This window comes from Homo sapiens, chromosome 2 (genome assembly GCF_000001405.40).
Source record: "Homo sapiens chromosome 2, GRCh38.p14 Primary Assembly".
NCBI lineage: Eukaryota > Metazoa > Chordata > Mammalia > Primates > Hominidae > Homo > Homo sapiens.
Window position 1 is genome coordinate 39701602 of NC_000002.12, and position 14423 is coordinate 39716024.

At 40.9% G+C, this 14423-nt stretch overlaps 1 protein-coding gene across 8 annotated transcripts in view; it reads left to right on the forward strand.

Annotated features, from left to right (window-relative positions):
* Positions 1-14423, forward strand: part of TMEM178A (transmembrane protein 178A) — a 70478-nt gene that overhangs the window by 36119 nt on the left and 19936 nt on the right. For 4 of the 8 annotated variants that reach the window (NM_001167959.2, NM_152390.3, XM_047443422.1 and 1 more), the window contains exons 2-3: positions 2480-2593; positions 5448-5585. The exons of 2 other annotated variants lie outside the window; for them this stretch is intronic. In NM_001167959.2, coding sequence (NP_001161431.1) covers positions 5480-5585 — 106 coding nt within the window. In that variant the 5' untranslated portion in view covers positions 2480-2593; positions 5448-5479. Of the gene's footprint in view, positions 1-2479; positions 2594-5447; positions 5586-9882; positions 13662-14423 lie in introns of those variants that run through there. 2 more of the 8 variants (XM_017003369.2, XM_005264144.1) reach the window with 2 other exon arrangements.

The window sequence follows — 14423 nt, forward strand, 5'->3', positions numbered from 1 at the left end:
AGTTTTGGCAGTTATTTCTTCAAATACTCTTTTTTGATCCTCCTTCTCTCCTCCTTTCTGCAGCTCTCATTATGCTTTTGATGGTGCCTCACAGGTCTCTGAGGCCCTGACCATTTTTTAAATCATCCTTTGTTCTTTATTTTTCTCAGACTGGATGATTTCAATGGACCTATCTTCAAGTTTGCTGCTTTTTTCTACCTCCTCAAAACTTCTTTTAAGCCTCTTTGGTGCATTTTTCTTTTCAGTTATTATACTTTTCAACTCCAGAATTTCTATTTTTTTCTTTACAAGAATATTTCTGTCATGTTGCTAATATTCTCTATTTAGTGAAATATCACTCTCATCCTTTCCTTTAGTTATTTGGATAGGTTTTCTTTACTTCTTTGAACATATTTAAAATAGCTGATTTAAAATCTTTGTAAGGTAAGTTCAATATTTGGGATCCCTCAGTGACAGCTTCTATTGACTGCTTTTTTTTTTCTTTTACTTTGAATGTCTCGTACTTTTTTGGTTGAAAACTGGGCATTTGAAATAACATACTATGGCAGCTCTGAAATTAGATTCTTGTCCCTTTCTAGGGTTGATTATTGTTTTTATTGTTGTTGCTGTTGTTCCTTTAGTGACTTTCCTGAACGAATCCTATGAAGTCTATATTCTTTGTCATAGGAGGCCCCTTAAGTCTCTGCTTGATTAGCTTAGTGGTAAACTAATTATTGTACAGAAATGTTCTTAGCCTGCTAAAACCAATAAACCTTCCAGTCTTTGCCAGTGGGGTTTGTTGTGTGCATGTTGGGTATGCCTTCAACTCTGCCTTAGCTTTCACTTCCTGCTTACAGAGCCTCAGGGTCAGTCTGATGAGTACCAAATGGAATGATAGTTTTGAAGAATACAAATGTAAGCTACTACTACATTTGTGGTCCTTTATCTGTCATTGTTCTCATACTATATTGTTTTCCCTTTGGAAGCACAGGCATTTCCTGACTTATAAACAGCTAACTTATATGTAAACAGCTACCTTTAATGCCTTAGACCTCACAACCACTGCCATGGGGCTCATGTTGAAAAAACAAATTAAAAAAAAAAAAAGAACTTCGAATTTTGAGAAAATGTGTGGTTTCATCAAAAAATAAAAAATAAAAAAAAAAGCTTCCAAAAATCAGAGATAGTTTGGGTAGTTTTTCTCAAAGGGAGATTCAGAGACTACCTGCATCAGAATTACTTGGGATGCTTGTTAAAATTCAGCTTCCTGGCTCCATCTCAAAACTTTTGATTCAGTATATCTGGGGTAGAGTTCAGGAGTTTACATTTTTAACGAGCCACCTAGGTGATTCTGATGTACACTAATATCTGAGAAACTCCTTAGGGAAGATGATCCTGTAGGTACATTCACAGGAGGGACTGGGGCTCATGATGCAAATTATGCTCAAATATTAATCTCTTCCCTTCACTATATAATCTTTTTAAAATTTCACCTTTATATGCACTCAGATTCCACCAATTAGAGATTTATTTGCATCTATGAAGATTTTTTTAAATGGCTGGCAGTGTTAAAGGACTAACATTCGCTCATGCCTTTAAAAAAATTAGTTTAATCAGATTGCATTTATCCAAACAACTGGCCAAGATTATTTAAAATGAGAGGAGAACATTTTATAAGTTTTTTTAAATTTTAAGACAGAGTAGATACTTTTCATGAAATTCAGAAGCCTCTAGGAGAAGAGAATAATGGACCCATGTTAATTTATGCAGTAAAACATGGGTGTGTGAGGTTGGTGTGAGGAGGTGGAGAGTGTACTAGATGAATCAATGTGTACACCTGCCCATATCAAAATATTGTGCCTAGGGCTGGCCATACAACCAGATAGGGGAGGAAAATTATTTTCTTTCTTGTTCCTACTTCTAGTATTACCCTTTTTTCTCGAGATCTAGAATTCAGGTCAGTATAACTGTATTAAGGAATGATATCAGCTGCACTAGAGTTAAATAGGTTTTCGAGGTTTGTCTGGAGATATAATCACCACCTAAACCATGTGGAAGGTTATCTTTATGGAAAAATGTCTTCTGGTTTCCAAATAACACACTTCCTAATGAACTTCATGAGGCTACCCTTGAGAGTTTGAGACTGGATCAGATCCAGATGTGTGATTTATCTGTGCTAATTTAAAATTCTAAGCTGATTTTCCCAACCATCTGTGTACTTTTAGGCCATTGCTCCTTAAGGAGTTTTGTGTTTAGGTAAAACAAGCTCCGTATGGGAAAACAATTAGGGGAGTATAGATCCTTATACAATTTAATACATTAAAAAATGAAACCTGATTTTAAACATTATTTTATGTTTTAGGTTTTTATTGCTCTGAATCAAGAGATTCTTATCCCATCTCCCATTCAACCCAGGTTAGGTTACGGTATTCTGCCTCAGGTCTCAGAATTCTGTTACAAATAAGCAGACTCGTAAATCGCGTTTCTTATTTCCTTCAAGGTATTGCGCAGCGATGCACGGCCATCAAGTACCACTTTTCTCAGCCCATCCGCTTGCGAAACATTCCTTTTAATTTAACCAAGACCATACAGCAAGATGAGTGGCACCTGCTTCGTAAGTATTTCCAGGAGAGGTTCAGAGAGGAAATGGTGTCATTCTGAACAAAATTCCCACCACCCCTCTCACATCTGGACAGAAGGATGTTGTTCTTATCCTCTGTGAGCCTCTGGGCCCAATCAGATGTGGTCAGAGACTCAGAGGATCATTTCCCTATGCTGTGGACACAGTTTGCTTAAAAATAAAATGTGTGGAAACCTGGTATAAGGTCTTGTGAGATAGTCTGCCCTGGTGGCATCTGTACACAGCTGCCTACTGAATCTTTTGTTTGCCGAGTTGTTGGGTGTAAGGACCTGCTGTACCCCTTGTCTTGTAAACCAAGGAGATTATACCTTAGGGGCTCTTATTTTTGTTTTGTATATACAATATTTATTTTAGCTACTGTGTTCATCTCCGACCTTTGTATTTCTGCTAAAATACCTTTATGAGTGTATGTCATAATTTTCTCAGAGGGTGTCTACATCTCAATGAAAGGAACTATTCTTTTTCACTGTCAGGAAAATGTGAAACTCTAGAAAGCATCATGCAGTGTGAAACTAAAGAGGGCTGATATTTACCTAAAAACTGTTGATTTAAGCTGCCTGATGATAGATAGCTCCCCGAAACGAAAAACTACTGTGAATTTTTTTGGTCTTTGCCCCCATCAGAGGTTGACATTGTCATTTTCCAATGAAATAAGTAACAAGGACTTCAGGATCTTGTTTGGTGGCCAAAGCCACTGTAGAAAACTAATCAGAGTCTCTCATTCTGTAAGTAAATCTCTCTGCGGATTAAAAGGCTCTGTTCTGAATCTCAAACACATAAATGGAAGCTCTTATGATATTGCCAGAGCAGTGGTCTAATATACATATTATGGCAGGCAACTTTAAGACTTAATCATCTTTCCAGAGAGCCATGTAGTTACTGGCTCAGGTCAGGGGAGAAAAGATCATCATAGGAGCCTGAAAAAGAACCTTAGCTCTTTAATAGTTTGTACCTTGTGATTGCCCAGCAAGGCAGTATTTGAAGATTCTTCTTTTAATCCTTTTTGGAGTTCTCATGGAAAGATGCTTTTAGCAGTCTCATGCATGTCTATTTCTAAGAAAGTCACACTTGGTGATCTGTAGCACATTTACTATATAAGCTTAACATGACTGGTACTAATGCAAATCCCATGTGGATTATATCTGAACCTTGTGCCTTTTCAGAGTCACAGAAAATAGACTATCACTCAAACCATAGGAAATTTGGGAGGCTGTAAGATAATGGTGACTGAACCATACTACATTTCCCCTGCTCAGATGTGGCTGTCTCAAAAACTACTTATACCCTTAACATTAAACTCAGCGTCTTTAAATTATCACTGCTCCTGGCCCCTTATTCATTGGTGTCCACATTTCTTCTTCTAGGCAGAAATACTCTCTTTTAATTTGGATGCTCTGAGTGGGAAATGAGAAATCCCTCTTTAAAAAAGGGATGGTCTCTCTGTGGCTAAGGTGCTAAGAGCAAGACTGGAAGCTACTGTAATCCATCCTCCATGAAGCCGCCCCTAAGCTGCCCAGGAGCCACACAAACACACAATAAAGTGATGGCTGCATGGGCACTTTCACTTTAGCAGAGCAGCCCACACTTCGAACAGTGTGATCTGCACCTTGTCTTGGCCCCATGTGTACACAGGTGTGGATGATCCACGTGCATTTGCCCAGACCTGTTACCTGGCCTTGGGGGCAGCAGATGTATGCTTGGGATGTGTTGTTTTAAGAAGGGTGATTGAAATTTAGCGAACAATTTTTAAAGTTAGTTTTGTTAAAAAAAATCCTTTGAGATGGAGCTGCAAGGTAAATAGAAAAGATTCAAAAGCATTTTTTAAAAAAAGAAGGAAGAAAATAGAAAAAGTAAAATAGCTGGAAGGTAGGCAAGGTGAGTGCTGGTTTAGCAGTTGGAGGCAACTTGTGTCCAGGTACACGTAGTCAGCCTACCTCTTGGTTTTGTCAGGCATGTGGGGAAAGAGCTGGATTTCTGGCTCAGTGATCACAGTTGTGTTTTTGCAATAGACCAAACTAGACAGTTGGGCCACTGTATAGTGGAGATTATGTAGTGGAGACTCATCCTATTGGACTAGTACTTCCTTCACCTGGGTAAATGGATGCCCAGGTTGTGGGATCTATGCTTTAGGGGAGAAGGCATTTCTGAGCAGATGTTTCAGAGGAAAGGGTGTTTATGAGCACATGTATCCTGTGTGCACTTTACACCACTGTTCCACTCACCACAATTGCCTTCGCTTTCTCAAATTGTTTTTGAAAATAGGCAGGAGTAGATGTAAATGAAGAAGTAAATAATTGGCATCTGTGGTGATCAGATAAAACCCTATTTCACAATAGCTTTTTTAGGCTCTTTCTCCAAAGCTAGATTAAGTACAGCCACTACCAGGGTAGTAACCTACATTTCTTTTTTTTCCCCTTTTAAAATTTCAATAGTTTTTGGGGTACAGGTGGTTTTTGGTTAACCTACATTTCTATTGTTCTGTTAAGGCTAACAGATATTTCTCAGACCCACCTCACTCTTTGTTTAAGTCATTTGACATCTGTTACTCAGGTCTATCCTGGGCTTGTCCTCTAGTCTATTCTCCACTTAGTGTGGACTTCTCCACGGACTCAGAGACGGTATAGTCTGACCCTCCATTGGTTACACCCCATCAGTCCTCTTATGGAATACCTGGGAAGAGTATTCCCTATGCCTCCTTGTCCTGTGGGCTCTAAGCCTGTCCATGTAACTTACTAATTTTCACAATGTATACAAAGCCCTAATTCTCTAATTCTTAATGACTTTCCTGAATTCTGATTGTGAATGTCTGTGTCTGTTTTGAGATTAGATTTAAGAAGAATCACTGCTGGCTTCCTCGGCATGGCCGTAGCCGTCCTTCTCTGCGGCTGCATTGTGGCCACAGTCAGTTTCTTCTGGGAGGAGAGCTTGACCCAGCACGTGGCTGGACTCCTGTTCCTCATGACAGGTAGGCTGCATGCCTCAGGCCGTCTGTCCCAGCCAAGGTGAAGGCTGCTCTGCATGCGGCTAGCTAGTGTCGCTTTGTTATCTCCCTGTTAATTTTGTTTTCACTGTTAGAAAAGCAACCAGAAGGTCATTTTGGCTTTGCTGGAAAATACAGAATTTAAGGAAAACAACAGTGTGAGAAATGCATCCTCTATATCCCCATTGTGGCCTGTTAGTAGGTTGGATGGAAGTGTCTTGGGTTTAATCTCTATATGAGCCCAGTCTGTTTTTTTGCTGTACTTTCTTTTTTCTTTTTTGTTTTTTTGAGATGGAGTCTCACTCTGTCACCCAGGCTGGAGTGTAGTGGTGCGATCTTGCCCCACTGCAACCTCTGTCTCCTGGGTTCAAGTGATTCTCCTGCCTCAGCCTCCTGAGTAGCTGGGACTACAGGCATGTGCCACCACACCTGGCTAATTTTTGTATTTTTAGTAGGGTTTCACCATGTTGGCCAGGCTGGTCTCGAACTCCTGACCTCAGGTGATCTGCCTGCCTCAGCCTCCCAAAGTGCTGGGATTACAGGCAAGAGCCACCACACCCCACCTTCTGTTCCTTCTTTCATACTGTGCCCCAAACCCTGGCCTGGACTCTTGGCAAACATGGACCATTGCTTATGAGGTGCCCTCAAAGACAGAGGGGGATAGATCAGCACAACCCATGCCCCGCTGGATGTCAATTCAAAGCATGCTTTAGTGATGGTGTCATTTTTACATACACAACACTCATTCATTTTAGTCCACAGATATCTTTTGAGGACTTACTATGTACGAGGCACTGCTGTGAGTGCTAAAGACACACAATGAATAAGGCAGGCAAAATTCTTGTTCATTTTTATTGTGGAGAGACATAAACAATGATTTGTGGTAGTGATAAAAGCTGTGAAGAAAAGAAACAGGGTGAAACAGGGACTCAGGGAAGATCTTGCTGAGGTGGCGATTTCGCAGCTAATTCGTGAGAAGCAGCCGGTGGTAGGAAGAGCGTAGCAGACTGGGGAAACCGCCAGTGCCAAACCTGAGAGAAGCGGCCAGTGGGGCTGGAGGGAGTGAGGGACAGGATAGTATCACATGAGGTGGGGGAAGTGGGCAGTGGCCAAAGCGTCAGGGTTTTGTTGGTCATGGTGGAGAGCTTGGATTTGAAGCTAAGGGTGACAAACGCCACTAGAAGGTTTGAAGCAAAGGAGTGACTTGATTTTTTTTTTTTTTTTTTTTTTTTTTTGAGACGGAGTTTCGCTCTGTCGCCCAGGCTGGAGTGCAGTGGCGCGATCTCGACTCACTGCAAGCTCCGCCTCCCGGGTTCACGCCATTCTCCTGCCTCAGCCTCCCGTGTAGCTGGGACTACAGGCGCGCGCCACCATGCCCGGCTAATTTTTGTATTTTTAGTAGAGACGGGGTTTCACCGTGTTAGCCAGGATGGTCTCGATCTCCTGACCTCGTGATCCGCCCGCCTCGGCCTCCCAAAGTGCTGGGATTACAGGCGTGAGCCACCGCGCCCGGCCGATTTTTAAAGAAGGGATTGGAAAGATGGGGGTGTGGAGACAGGGCTAGGATTTTTTTGACTAACAGCTAAAGGGTAGTTTTGTCTAAAAATGTGCCAGGTGCTGAGTTGATGGCTAACACTGACCGAAGGTAGCTTCAGGGAAGAAATCTTTCCTTTCTTCTCCTCCTTCACAGAAAACTCGTGTATTAATGATTAGTGAATGCCACATTAACTGGGCATTAACAGTTTCACACAGTATACTCAGCAACAGAACTAATATTCCCCGAGATAGATAGCCATTTTAAATAGGCTTATTTCCACTTGCTTGGAATTCTGTTATTCAAGTGACTATGCCTAGATTTTCTTGCACTTCTCACTGTAATGGGTCACTTAATTAAGCCTGCGTTAACAGGAGGCAGCCACACCCCACCGGGGCTGACACTGTTTGCTGACTGTCTGTCTCTGAGCGTTGACGGGTAGGGGGTACTTTGCCCTCTGGCATGTTCAACCACCCTGCAGCCTTAAGGAACCCACATCACAGGCAGGGATCCTTCCTTCTAACTCCCACTCACCCCTATCCCACTCCACGAAATGGTGCTGCAATTGGCAGTGATCTGGAATGTGGGGCATCATCACCAGCATCCTGGAACATTCAGAAGTCACATGGATGCTGCCTAGTTCTCAGCAGAAAACCAATTTAGGTTTTCTAGATTTTGGTGAATACACAGTGGCCACCAGGACTGTAGCACAGGGAGGCTAAAATGTTAGTTTCTGAGGTTTTAGAGGAGGATTTGGACCCTCAAGACCAGCCACTGGGTTCCTGCCCAAGGGATGCATTTAAAATCCAAATTATAGACTAAAGCAGACGCGGGCAGCAAAGAACCAGAGAGGACTGCACTGCACAGAGGATTCCTTTACACCTCTGCTGGGGCTTAATGGTTATTTAAAAATCTCCCCCGTTTTCTTCTCTCCCTTTATTTAAGCCCCCATTTCTCTGACTCTTGTCTCCATAAATATCAAAGAGGTACAGATGTGTTGCCTCCCAACACATGGGAAAGGCCCCATAACACTCCCCTTGTCAGGAAAATGGGGGATGCTCTGGAGTGGACAAAAGCCTCAGTAGGAGGAGTTTTTAAAGGATACTTTAAATATATGTACTGCCTGAATAGTTTAGTATGCTCTTAGCAAATGAAACAATTGTTAGAACTAAAATAAATTACAAGACCATGAAAGCCTACTGAGTGCTCCTTGGGAGACTGAGGGGCCAGTCTGGTTTTAAATGAAAGGAAGTTGAAGGTTCAATGGCAGGTGGGCACAGAGGAGAGGCAGTAGTTTCCTGGGCCAGCTCCACCTCTCCCTGTTCTCAGCCCTTATTTTGGATCCATGTGTGGATTGTACCTCTGGACCAGAGGAGCTCAGAGGTCCTCAGGATCGAGCACGGGAAGCTCCTGTGTAATTGTTAGGCAACATCAAAATATGCAAAGCAATAGCCACAACAGAAACCACCACCACCACCAACAAAAACCCAAACAATAAACTTGAAGTTTGATGACCAGTTCTGAAGGACTAACAGATACAACCTAACATTGTTAACATTGTTCTGTTGTTTTGTTTTGGTTGCCCAAACAACGTTATTGAAATTAAGGGGGAATCCACTTACAGACCTCATCACCTGAAAACAAAACAACCTTTTTTCAATATTTCCTTTATTTTGGACCAAATCTTGCCATGTATTTGCTTCACTGTAAAAAAACAAGAAAGGAAAAGGAAGGAGAAGAAAGGGGAGGGGATGGAAGAGGGGAGAGGAGGAGCATGGAGTGGATATGCTATGCTGGATTCACCTGTTCTGTTGCTGTGGGATTTAGGGGCGTTTGTTTTGCTTTTGTTACTACAAATAATGCCTTGAAATTTCCTTTGCAAACACTGAGACAACCATGTCAATCTATTGCTTGAGATAAATTAGCTGTAGAACGTTCACATGCAGTAGGAGATGAGAGCAAAAAAAGGGTTAAAAGAATCGATTTTAATTAAGCAGAATGTCTTTAGCCACTCAAGTCAGCATCCTTCCCACAGATTTTTGATGCTAAACTTAGCCCCTTCTAATGCTCTGCCATCTTCATTCTGTGCCTGAACTTATTAGCTAAACCTTCAAATGAAGAACATCAACCATGTGACAGGTTGGCTGGTTAAAATGGAAACTCTGAAACGATATTTCTCCTTCTGCCTTATTGATTGCACACAGACAGGTCTTGATTACCACATGTTACACAGCAGCCCTGCTGACTGTCGATGCACATCTGGAGCCAGGTCTCACCCCTCTTCCTCTTCCCTAGGGCCATGCAAGGGCCCTCCCAGAGAGCCAGGGGCAGCCTGCACATCTCCCACCGGCCTTGAATTTAGACTTTGGATGTCACACCCTCTGAGGTTACACACACACAGGCACAGAAGCATACACAGGTGACTGAGGGAATAAGACTCTTATCTTCCAGCTTTAAGCTTCTGCCCATTACTAGACTATACTGCTTTCAGTGTACTGTGAATGAATATTTCCACCTACATTATTAAGTGATGCATTCTATTAGATGGGTATAATATATACTTATTATAATTTAAGTTATAAATCTTTTAAAAGGTTATTCAGTGCAAACATTTTAAAACACTTTTTAAGGTCTCTGTTGTAGGATTTTTAGTATTTTTTAATTCACCAGGAGTCTTAAAAATTGGATAAAGCTTGGGCCTCCCTTGGTGGGGGTCTCACTGCTCACGAAATTCATTCACCTTCACAGGCTGTGCCTTGAGTGGCCAACTGGAAGATCACACACAGCATGAGACAGTCCCTTCCTGACAGCAGAGACAGAGAAGACAGAGTCCAGGCAGCCCTAGCAGAGCTCCAGGGACAGTTAACACCCACCCACACTGGTTATTCATTCTTTTGTTTTAATGAATCCAAATTTTTTTTAAAAAAAGACTCAACCATGGTAGGTGTATTGAATTATCTAGATTATCCATTGATTATGACATGAAACTACAGGTCCATGATACTTTTTCTATAACCTTGGGGGCCAGGTGTGTTTTGTAATTCAGGATCTAAAACTTTTTATTTTAGAAGAGTAACACGGTGCATATATCCTGTGTTATTTAACACCCTCTGCAAGGTCTGGGGTGGCATCTTGAAATCAAATACATTAATATTCCTGTAGCTAAACATACGAATATTCACACTAAATGGGATCAATAAGTACTAGAATAGCCTGTGTCAGACCAGGCCAGGATTTGCCACTACAGAGATTGCTTCAATCTTTCAGAAAATGATTGGATGCTTTTGGGATTTAGGAATTGCATTTTGTGTGTGTGTGTGTGTGTGTGTGTGTGTGTGTGTGTAAGAGTTTCTTTCTCTCTATTAGTTCTGCCAGTCAGTTAGGACAATATAGGAATGGCTTTTTGAGTAATCTGTGTGCAAACTAGCATGAGGCATTTGAAGGAAGACCAAAGAGATCAGAACGATGGGCAGGCCATCTTTTGAAGGAGCAGGGGAAAAAAATCAATGTTTATGCCTTTGGGTGTTGTAGTTACATTATTTATCAAGCAGGCTAAACAGGGTGAAGCAACTTCCACTCCTTTCAGTCTTTTAAGCACATTAAAAAACGGTGGTCAAAAGAGTGGGCCCCGTTACCCTAATTACATCTTACCAGCCGGCATCATGAAGATTTTAGGGTAGGAAATTAGGTTGATGATTGCAAGGATGATAGCATAAATTTACTTCTGTCCTGATGTGAAAATATCCCTTCTAGCCCTATAATTCTGTGATATCGTGGTATCTTCTAATTAGGAATATTGGCAGAAAACCTTTTAATATTTTATAAGAAAAGTAGTTGCATGCAGGGCTTGTCAGGAAACCAGTAATTTATTCACTTTTTTGAAGATGCTGCCAGCAGTAGTAAGGACCGAGCTCAGGACTCAGGAACCTCTCTCTCTCTCTCTCTCTCTGGGGGACACTAGCTGGCTGAAGAGTATCAGCTAGGCAGGGGAGAAGTGGAAAGGAAGGGAAAGCCTCAGAGAAGAATGGAGGAGAGGCCACCTTTCTCCCCATGGATCTTCAGGAAGGACCATTAGATTTTGAACTTTCTGAATGCAGAGGTGATACCTTATTAATCCTTCCATACTCCTTTCGCATACCTTGCATTAATTAGATTGCTGCCAATGAAAATGCAGCATTATCAGAAATAACTTGCTACATAGGTAATCCCTACTTGGGGTAATTTGTGATGAACCGACTCTTAAGTTGGTAGAACTCAATGTATTGCAGAATTCAGTTTCGTTCAGGTTTTCTTCACTCCATGTGCTCAGCTCTGTTGGACTCCATGCAGAACTTACGGGAAGTCTAAGAGATCCCTATGACCTTTTCCTGAGATGCACGGAGGAGAGTAGAGTGGAGAGAATGCTTGAAGTTCCTGACCACATCAATGTTGAACTGAGTCCAATTGTGACCAAGAAGAGCTCATGAAACTAAACTATCTCTAATATACCAGAACTAGGCTTGGGACGTGGTAGATACTTGATAAATAATTGCTGAATAACTTATTGAGTAACACTTAGAATAGCACAATCTTGCTAAAACCTATAAAAAAGCTAAAAATATATTTCATGCATGAGTACAAACACACACATACTCACATGTGTGTGGAATGTTATGGGCTGAGTTGTGTCCCCTCAAATACACTTGTTGATGTCTTTGTCCCCTACCTCAGAACGTGACAGTATTTGGAAATAGGGTCTTTAAGTTAAAATGAGGTGATATGGATGGGCCCTAACTAAATATGACTGGTGTCCTTATAAGGAGATTTGGTCATGGTGACAGAGGAGAGACTATGTGAAGACACAGGGAGAAGATGGCCATTGACAAGCCAAGGAGAGAGTCCTCAGTTTAAAAAGCCAACCCCGCTGACACCTTGATCTTAGACTGTAGCCTCTACAATTGTGAGAAAACAAATTTCTGTTGTTTAAGCCACCCAGTCCGTGGTACTTTGTTTGGCAGCTCTGGCAAACTCACACATATGAGTACTATAAGACATGTATGTGGAACCTGAAATAGAATTCCACACTCTCAACATTGACCTAAAACTATTAATCCAGCTATAGTAAGAATGCTTTCATCATTTCAAACAACTCTTTTTCTTGATGCCTTTGAATTTAGGATTTTTTGTTTTGTTTTTTAAAATATCTTGAATGGGTTAGGCTTCTTTTACAGAAGCTTGTTGGAAAAGTTGGAAACAATGCTTCTCTCCTCTTAGTACATTTCCTTGTAATCATCACACATTCCTGCCCATCTCACAAATCATTGTGGTGGCAGCTATGCATGTGCAAACATTCTTAGAAATGCGAGGGTCTGAAAATGAAGAGCTCCTAGATATGGTTTTCTTGTCATTCTTTCCTGCCCTGCTTTCCTCTTACTTACTAAGAACAACTTCGAGAGCACTTTGAAAGGAGAAGAGATGTTACAGAAGGGCAAGCTATAGGGGCATTTGTGGGAAGGGGGATGGAGAGAGGGGATGGATTTTTGGGCTGATAGGCCTCCTCTCCACCACGCTCAGCTGAATGAGTAAAGGCAACAAGAAATAAAACAAGTCTGCATCAAAGTTTGATGCGTGCCCTGTTCCAAAAAAAAAACTTAACTGGCATAGAGATAACACTTAAATTAATACAAATAAATAAAGTAAGACAAAGGGACAATCAGGTTTCTGAGGCAAGATGGATCCAAGAGTGAGATTAGAAGCCAAAAGCATGCCATGAAATCCCATACTTTTGCTCATGGTGGGCTACAGATTTAGCTTTAGGGAGCTTCAGTGCTCTGGCAACTTGGATAAAGAAAAATTCTGTTAATGACATCATTCACAGTGTCCATGAGGTAAGCACAAATCAATTCCCCAGGAAAAGCACAAACATCCATGACACTGAGAGCAGAGAGAAATCATTCTGGTTAAATCCCCAGATTAGATTGTTTCTTGTAATTCTTTTCTATTCAGTATGAACCGGTGGTTTAATGATAGAATTCATGTCATCAAAAGCAATTTTATGGGGTTGGCAGGGGAGAGGAGCTAATGAAAGAAATGTTAAGTGTAAAATCAGAGGGAGTATATACAGAAAGATAGATACATAGGACATTCCATTTTCATTTAATTGCATAAGCTGAGTACTAGATTCACTAGGAAGTTTTAATAAATATTCTTGTTTCATGTTTCATTTTGGAATAACAGAATCACAGAAATTTGACACTCTTAGGGACTTCAGTAATCAAGTTTCCCACTCTTTTTTTCCCTAGATGAAGAAACCAAGGCTCAGAGAGGTTAGGTAATTTCAAGTTTGCACAGTGTTTAGTAGAGCTGGAAACTAGAATACTTATTTCTCACATCCCAACCCAATGCACTTGGACATGAAAGGATGCTTAAAAGTCTAGGTTTGAACTCAAGCTTTCATAGGTCATTAAAACAATGTTACTTGTAAAAATGCTTGCTTTTAGGCATTCAGCTATGTGCAAACAGCTAAATGCAGAATAAAGTTGTTTTTCCTGTGAAGAGGTCATTGTTCTATTATTCTATTTTACTTGTTGATGCTCCAAAGATTATTTTTTCTAACTGCCTATTGTTCTATTACCAGCATTTATTAAAAGGGCTTTGTTATATATAAAAACTGCCTTTGTTTTGGTGCCAGTGAAAACATTTGTGTAGATCTAAGAACATTTGCTTTTCACAAGGTTTGAGAAAAGTGGAGTATTCTTTTTTGAATGGCCCATTACTTTATGAGAGAATTATTTCCATCTTGATTTTTCTCTTTGAGAACTCAAAGTGATATGTTTGCTGTAATAAATTGGAGCAAGAAGTCAGAAGAAAAGATTTTATCCTTTTTAGTAAAACAGAATCACTTTAGAGTTTAAATGCAGAATTAAGCAAAGAGTAGGAAATATCAAATTATCTCAGATCCAGTGTCCTTTTAATTTAGAACATTTATTGTCTAAGTGCACATTTGGAAGCGGATTCAGGCAACGTGCTCTTACATGATTTGAATGGAGGCAGAATTCTAACATTTTAAAGATGGCATTAAGGTGGTCTTTATTTCCTCCAAATTGCTGCCTGCCCTGAATTTGTTTTTCTGCTAGCATTTCTAATCTCCAAAGCTATAGGTTAAAAAAGGGTGGTGGGTAGAGGGCGGGGAGCTTTGAATGGGTTGGAGAGGTAATCTGCTACTTTTAGCTCTCTCTTTTCAGTTTCAAAATCTGTGTCTCTGTTTCCAGTGGAGATGCTACGTGTATCCCTAAGGATGCCAAAGGAAT